At 48.2% G+C, this 7484-nt stretch overlaps 1 annotated feature.

Annotated features, from left to right (window-relative positions):
* Positions 5378-6577: an enhancer, noted in NCBI's record as "CDK7 strongly-dependent group 2 enhancer chr16:48997204-48998403 (GRCh37/hg19 assembly coordinates)". NCBI's record gives its function as "activates an origin of replication core promoter dependent on BRD2, BRD4, P300/CBP, MED14 and CDK7 cofactors, with strong dependence on CDK7, by STARR-seq in HCT116 cells {active_cell/tissue: HCT116}" and the evidence as "EXISTENCE:reporter gene assay evidence [ECO:0000049][PMID:35650434]".

Below are 7484 nucleotides of genomic sequence, written 5' to 3'. Positions count from 1 at the left end.
TGGTCCAAGCCTAGCTTCCCAGGCCAGATCATTTCTCTGTCACTTCTGCTGTAACCCTCTAAAAACAGAGAACTGGCTGTAGTCCTCCACTCACCCCCACTCTGCTATTTCTTGACTCGACTTTTGCTCATGCAGTGATTTCTTACACCACTAGACTCAGTTCAGGTGTGACCTCACCCAGAGAGCCATCTCCAAAGCAGAATCAGGTGCCTCTCTCAGGTCCTCTTGAAGCACACTCTGGCCCCTTTCGCATGGCACTTCTCACCCGTATGTTAATTATTCATATATGCATGTATCTGTTCTCCCACCAGACTGTGAGCTCCATATGGATGAGCACTTGATTTCTCCCACCACAGTGTCTGCAGAACACAGAGACAGCTCTGTCTCTCTCTTGATCCATGTGTTTTGGGAGATCTGGCCCCACTTCCTATCTCCATGAAATTTCAGTGTTACCCTGGGTTTTTTTTTGTTTTTTTTTTTGAGACAGAGTCTCTCTCTGTTGCCCAGGCTGGAGTGCAATGATGCGAGCTCAGCTCACTGCAACCTCCACCTCCTGGGTTCAAGCGATTCTCCTGCTTCAGCCTCCCCAATAGCTGGGATTACAGGTGTGTGCCACCATGCCCAGCTAATTTTTGTATTTTTAGTAGAGATGGGGTTTTACCATGTTGGCCAAGCTGGTCTTGAACTCCTGACCTCAAGTAATCCGCCTCGGCCTCCCAAAGTGCTGGGATTACAGGTGTGAGCCATTGCGCCCTGCCTCATCCTGGCTTTTAAGTCAGTCAGTAGGAATGGTCATTAGGTCTGGGACGTTTTGTTCAAACTCTTGGGAAAGAAAGGCTGTCTTCTCAGCTTGACTTGGCATTGTGAGACTATGAAGCTAACGAGACTGCTGCCACCTCACCATCTTCAGGAGTTGGCCCATGTAAGAATGGGAGCCAAGAAAAGAAAAGAATAAATACTGAGTTCTGACGACACCATCTGAGCTCCACAAAACGGGCATCTCTCCTCCATTGGACTTCCCTTTTGTGTAAGCCAATAAATTTCTTTTCATTTTAAGCTGGCTTGAACTGTGTTTTCTGTCACTTGCAGCTGAAACAGGTCAGTAGATGTGCAAAGAAAGGGCATGGATGTCTCAGGCCCCTGTGTGGTCCCCTCGTACATTGAATAGGGCTGACATGTGTGACCAATGGGATATCGCAGAAGTCACTGCATGTCACTTGCAAGACTAGGCCATAAAGAACTTTGCAGCTTCCACCTTGCTCCCTCTGGGGATGCCAGCCATCATGTCATAAACACATTCATTCAGTCCCCCTGGAGGGGCCCAGGGAAGAACTGAGATGTCCACCAAATTGCCAGCCATGTGAGACAGATGCCTTGGAAGCAGATCTCCAGCATCAATCAGGCTTTCAAAAGGCTGCAGCCTCATCAGACACCCTGAGCAAGCACCCCAAATCCCTAACACACAGAAGCTGTTAGAACAATCAATCATTATTGTGGTTTGAAGTCACTACATTTTCGGGTAATTTGTTACACAGCAATGTGTACCTCCCAAATCAGCTGCTCCAACATGGAAACCCTGACCTTCAACATTCCTCAACCTTCAGATGGCACCAAAATTGACCCAGCTTTTCAGACCAATAAAATAAAAACCTAGGCGTCATCCTTGAATTCTTCATTTTTCTTGCACTCCACAGCCAGTTCAAATATTAATCATGTTGGTTTTGCCTCCAAAATACATCCTGAATCCAACCATTTTTCTCTACCTTCACCTCTATAAACCTAGCGCGGCGACCCTAATCTCTCTTGACTGACACAATGGTCTCTGAACTGGTCTCAGCTGTGCTCTTAAATCCATATAAAAGACTCTTCTTGCAGTGAGAATAATCTTGTGAAAATTCACCACAGATCACATCATACCCCTGTTTGAAACCCTCCAATGGCTTCTCAGCTCCATTTGAATAAAATCCCAACTCCTTACCTGGGATTAAGGCCCTGCACGCTGGCTCCAGCTCCCTTACCAAACTCATCTCTTCTTATCCTCTATTATCCTCTGTGCTGCAGCACAACTGGCCTCTGTCTGCCCTGCAAACATGCAAGGACTGCTGTGGACAGGGTCCCACCTGATCACCCCTTTGGTAGGGCTTCTCACGGCTGTCCCTCATGATCCAGGCCTCAACTCAAATGTCACCACCCCAGACCTGCTTTAGCAGCCTCAACCTCCATTCTAGCCTTGGTTTACTGTCTTCTCCAAGCCATTTATCCTTACCTGAAACAGTATTATTTTTTTCAAAGGTCTTCCCTTCCCCACCCCCTCACTAAAATATAACCTTGGTGAGGGCAGAGGCCTTGTCTTGTTATTCACTGCTATGATTGTATGGCCTAGACCAGTGTCTGCTATATAGCAGGTGTTCAATACATTTTGTTGTCTGAACAGCTGACCAGTGTTCCACAGAATAGTCTTTGGGAAATACTGAGCTAAGTCATCTCAAAGGTCAGTTGCAGCTCCTAAAATGGTGCTGTTTCTTATTCAGCCTGATTCTGCTCTTCCCTTTGCAAAAGATGCATCCAATGGAAGGGAGAAAACTCATCTTCTCTTCGCAACTGGAGTTTTCTCATCATCTAGGTAGGGTGGTTGTGGCTTAGATAAGGCTAGTGGCTTCCTGAAAGCTCCACAGCCAGCCTGTGCCAGGGCTGGGAATCGGAATTCCACTCTGCCAACCCTGAGAAGCTTTGAGGTGGAGGAGAGGAGAACCAAAAGAGTTGGCAGAGCTTGTTTGCTAATGGAAGGGAAGTCACCATGATGCTGATGAAGCCCCAGGGCCCTCACTAACACTGATCCTTTCCAGGGCCCTCACAAGCACTGACCCTTCCCAGGGCCCTCACTCGCACTGACCCTTCCCAGGGCCCTCACTCGCACTGACCCTTCCCAGGGCCCTCACTCGCACTGACCCTTCCCAGGGCCCTCACTCGCACTGACCCTTCCCAGGGCCCTCACTCGCACTGACCCTTCCCAGGGCCCTCACAAGCACTGACCCTTCCCAGGGCCCTCACTCGCACTGACCCTTCCCAGGGCCCTCACATGCACTGACCCTTTTCAGGACCCTCATTCACACTGACCCTTTCCAGGGTCCTCACATGTACTGACCCTTTTCAGGGCCCCAGGAGAGGCACTAGCAATGGGCTCACATGTTCAGATGTTTTTGTACAACCTGCAAAAGCAAGGTATTTGAACCACATCAGCTGACTCCGCTATTTCTTTCCCCGGCCATGTGCTCCTGCCAGGCGATGTTGGGAAAGTGTGGGCATTTGGGGATCTGACTGGGAAGAGGTTGTGTCAGAGTTACATCTAGCATGAACATAAGGGGATATATTTACACAGTTTTCAATTGATCTCATGGAGACTTTAGCTTTTGCCAGCTGTTCTGGTGTAGGCATGACTTCCAGGAATATCTCTACTCGCTCCCTTTGTGTCATGACATGAAGAAACAAGGCCAGAGGTCACATCATGAGATGAACAGGCCCAAATGCACTCGACCCCAGAAAAGAGTGAGAAAGTGTAGGTCCTAGAAGCTAGTCTGTGGCTTGTGCCCCTAATCCTCAGACATGTGCAATGGGAAATGAAGAAGCTGGCTTTTGCTGATGCCTCATCAAAATGGAAGTTTTTTTCTGCAAAAGGATCTTTCTAATTTCCCTATAGACACATAATCATTGTCATGGGAAGAGGCAATCAAAGAGTATAAAGCCAATACATAGAGAGAATTTGGAAAATATTTTAGAGGTGTGTCAGCAGTTAATGAATACAAACGTCATGCTATTTTTTGGATTTTCTGATGTTTGTGGTGCCCATCTGTGGTGCTGTATAGCTTTCAGGAAGCCACTAGCACTATCTAAGTCAGCTTTTAAACTGTTTTTTTCATTATTTCTTTTTTTTTTTGCTCTAAATCAATATTCACTTTCATATCTAATTTCGTGTTCTTTTTTCTTAAAGAGGATCCCACAATTGGACAAGCTTCCCCTTGGAGCCTACATCCACACCTGATTATCAGCAGGGACTCGGGCTGTGATGAGAAGCAGGGGTGGCGTCCTGGGCCCAGAGGTCTGTTCTGGCCAAAAAGAGATGAGTCTTTCCCTGCACAGGCTAGAACAGCTGCTGTCCCCTCCTCCAGCACTGAAACCCTGGTTCCCTCCAGCCTTCATTTTGGGCTGAAGGCCAAATGATTTCCTGTGTTTTCTTTGTTTATCAGCTCTCTATTATCATGATGGCAAGAGCCACCCACTCAATAAAGCAAAGTAAACAAACTCCCACAAACCGACAAACAGCTTTGAGTGTGCAGCCCCGATTTGATTTCCTAATTAACAAGCCATTCTCAGCCAATCAGACGATGTGCATGTCATCCCATTTGGATTTGTGGGCAAACCAATGATTCCTGGGCTTCAAGCCATTGCTCTATGGAGGGGAGGGGGCTACTGGGGAGGGACCACCTCATGGCAGTTGCTACACTCATTCCTGGGCTTCCTTGTCCCTCCTCCCCGTCCCTCCTTCATCTGTCTACACAGAGTTAGCGGGCTTGCAGGGCTGTTTCCAGACCGCTGGGTCCAAGGCAATGGGGTGAAGCCCCTTTCCTTTGTGGCATCACAGCTCTTGCTTTTCCTCTTGTTCCATCTGCTGGTGCCAAGGCCCTCCTGGCGAGTAAGCCCCATGATGAGTTCTGTTAGTGCACAAAGACAACCGCTCATGGCAGTGAGATCCGGTGCCCTGGCTGCTCTTTCCAGAGCCTTCTTAGAGGGGGCTGAATAACAAAATTCAGGGACCCCCATGAGCGAAGGAAAGGTATCTCACCTTCCCAGAAGGCACATGGATGCTCCCAACCACTCACTTGCTCTCCTCCCCATCACAACTATCTGCTGTCACCAGTTCTGCATTCTGGCAAGTGGCTCTCCATCCCTGGGCCTTGGTCTCCCCATCCATGAAAAGGAGCAGTGGGAGAAGCGTGAGGCCCTGTAGGATGGCCCTCACACCAAGCCTGGCTGGCAGGTGTGCTGAGTGCTCTACACAATACTTGTCTTATTTTTATATTTGATTTAGTTGTCTACATTTTAAAAATGGAGAGAGTCATTATTTTTAAAATGTATATTTCAGGATTAAAAAAAATACTCAGAAGATCTGGCATCATTGAGTATATGTTCCCTTGTGACAAACAAGAAGAGAAGCAGCTGCCTTGAAGAGAAGAGACTGGGGTGCTCCAGTTCCCCCCAGTTGCCACCACTCCCTATTGCTCTACCCAGTCCACCTCACTTGTGTAGGTTATTTGTGGGATCCCTGAAGGCATGCACATTTGTAAGGATGGCCCTTTTTGTTTAATAGATTGTGGTTTTAATTCCACAGTTCATTCCTTCTGCAGATGATGAGCTTATTCCACAGGTATTTATTGAGCCTCTCTTGTGTTCCTTGTGTTTTACTAAGCACTGAGGAATGCTTAAATGGGGTGAAAGGCATGGCCCCTACCCTTAGAGAACTGTGAGTTTAGCTGCAGGCATATGAGGACCTGGATGAGAATTCATGACCTTGGAGGAGGCCTTCCTACCTAGTGAGAGGAGATAAGGCCCAGTTTAAACTCCTCCTCCCGCTTGTTCCTGTATAATAGCAAGACTACATTTACATGGCACCTCACAGTTTCAGGACACTTTCCTATCTATTAAGTCTGAGTCCTGACCACAACTCAGAGAGGCAGAGATTATTTCCAGATACTCCCAGATGCCAAGAGACTTCCTGCATTCTCTACCAGTTGTGTTTTTAACACTCAGCACAAACACAACCAGACATCATTTTAAAACTTGGCATCTGCCATTCTGAATGATTGGATGCTGTGCCCACCACAGCCTTTGCCAGGAATATCCCTGGTCCATAGCCTAAAGAGATACTGGAGAGGTGTCTTTCTCACTCAAAGACAGAACAAAGACCCCCCTTCTTCTATGCACGGCACATGCCTTCTAATTCCCTATGTCAGCTTGTACCATCCACAAGCACTGTGAAGGGCAACAGCCAATCCCAGCCTGTTCATCTTCCTGTGGTCCAGCAAGCATCCCTCTTGGCCAGCCCTCCCCGAGGGCTTACCTGTGGAGGGACAATTCCATCCCCCTCACACTTTGGACTGACCACAGAATAAGCGTCCAGGGTCATTTTAAATGAGAGTCTTCTAGTTCTGCAGAAATGAGAAAACAAATCCTAAGGAACAAGAGGACATGTGGGGCCAGAGTGCATAGATCTAAAGTCCTTCTCCCTCTGAGGACAGGACCCTGAGTTCTCTTTCTAAGGCTCCACGGCAAGGGTCATAAGCCTGTCTCACCCTCGATGACTGTGCCTCAAAGGCATGAGTGGTGTTGATGACTGATGAGCCCCTGACAGGCAGCCAAGGGCACTGCAAGCCCAGCCCCCATCTTCATGACATCTAAGCTGCTCCATTGGTAACAAGCTTCTCCCTGGTTAAAAGTAATAAATCTCCTCTGATTTAAGTGACAGCTTGTTGGGATTGTTTCCTTGGGCTTTGACATAAAGAAGAAATTTAAATCCAACATAATCTGGACTGAAATAATGATGTTAGCTCTGAAGGCTGAGATGGTTCAAGCAGGACAAGGCATAGGAGATAGACCCTTTTAGGGACTCAGCGAGGCCCTCATCATGCCTCGATGGATGCATGGAGGGTAGGGTTAAGTTCCACTAAGGCCTGCATTGTGCTGTCCTATTCTTCACCCTTCCTTCCTTCCTTCTTTTCTTCCTTCCTACCTTCCTTCCTTCCTTCCTCCCTCTTTTCCTCCCTCCCTCCCTCCTTCCTTCCTCCCTGGGTCTTGTTCTGTCACCCAGGCTGGAGTACAGTGGTATGATCATAGCTCACTGCAGCCTCGAACGCCTGGGCTCAAGCAATCCTCTCACTTCAGCCTCTCAAGTAGTTGGAACTGGAACTGCAGATCCGCAACACCACACCTGGTTAATTTTTTTGTTTTTTGTTTTGTAGAGACAAGTTCTCCCTATGTTGCCTAAGCTAGTCTCAAGCTCCTGGCTTCAAGCAATCCTCCTGCCTCAGCCTCCAAAAGTGTTGGAATCACAGGCCTGAGCCACTGGCACCAGGCCATGCTTCACTTATACCTGCATGCTCCTCACCTCCACTTAGGTGCCTGGGACCACCTTCACTGCCACCCCAAACTGAGCTGCCTTAATCAGCACCCAAGATAGCAGATCTTTTCTCTCCCATCCCCTCACCCAAACTGATCCATCCCATCTGAGGGACACACATGGACTCACTCCCAGGTGCTAAAGCTGAAGTTGACCACAGAGCCTTTACTGAAATGAGGCACATATTTCCAAATCCTTCCTCACCCTTCCCGCATAATATGAGCCTAGAAATGGCCAGGCTGGGACCCCAGAGAGATGGGAAGAGACAAGGTAAGGCAGGGAGGTCTCACCAAGCCAGGGACCACAGTGGGCA

This window comes from Homo sapiens, chromosome 16 (genome assembly GCF_000001405.40).
Source record: "Homo sapiens chromosome 16, GRCh38.p14 Primary Assembly".
In the NCBI taxonomy this organism is placed as follows: Eukaryota; Metazoa; Chordata; class Mammalia; order Primates; family Hominidae; genus Homo; species Homo sapiens.
This window is presented reverse-complemented; position numbering and strand designations above follow the sequence as displayed.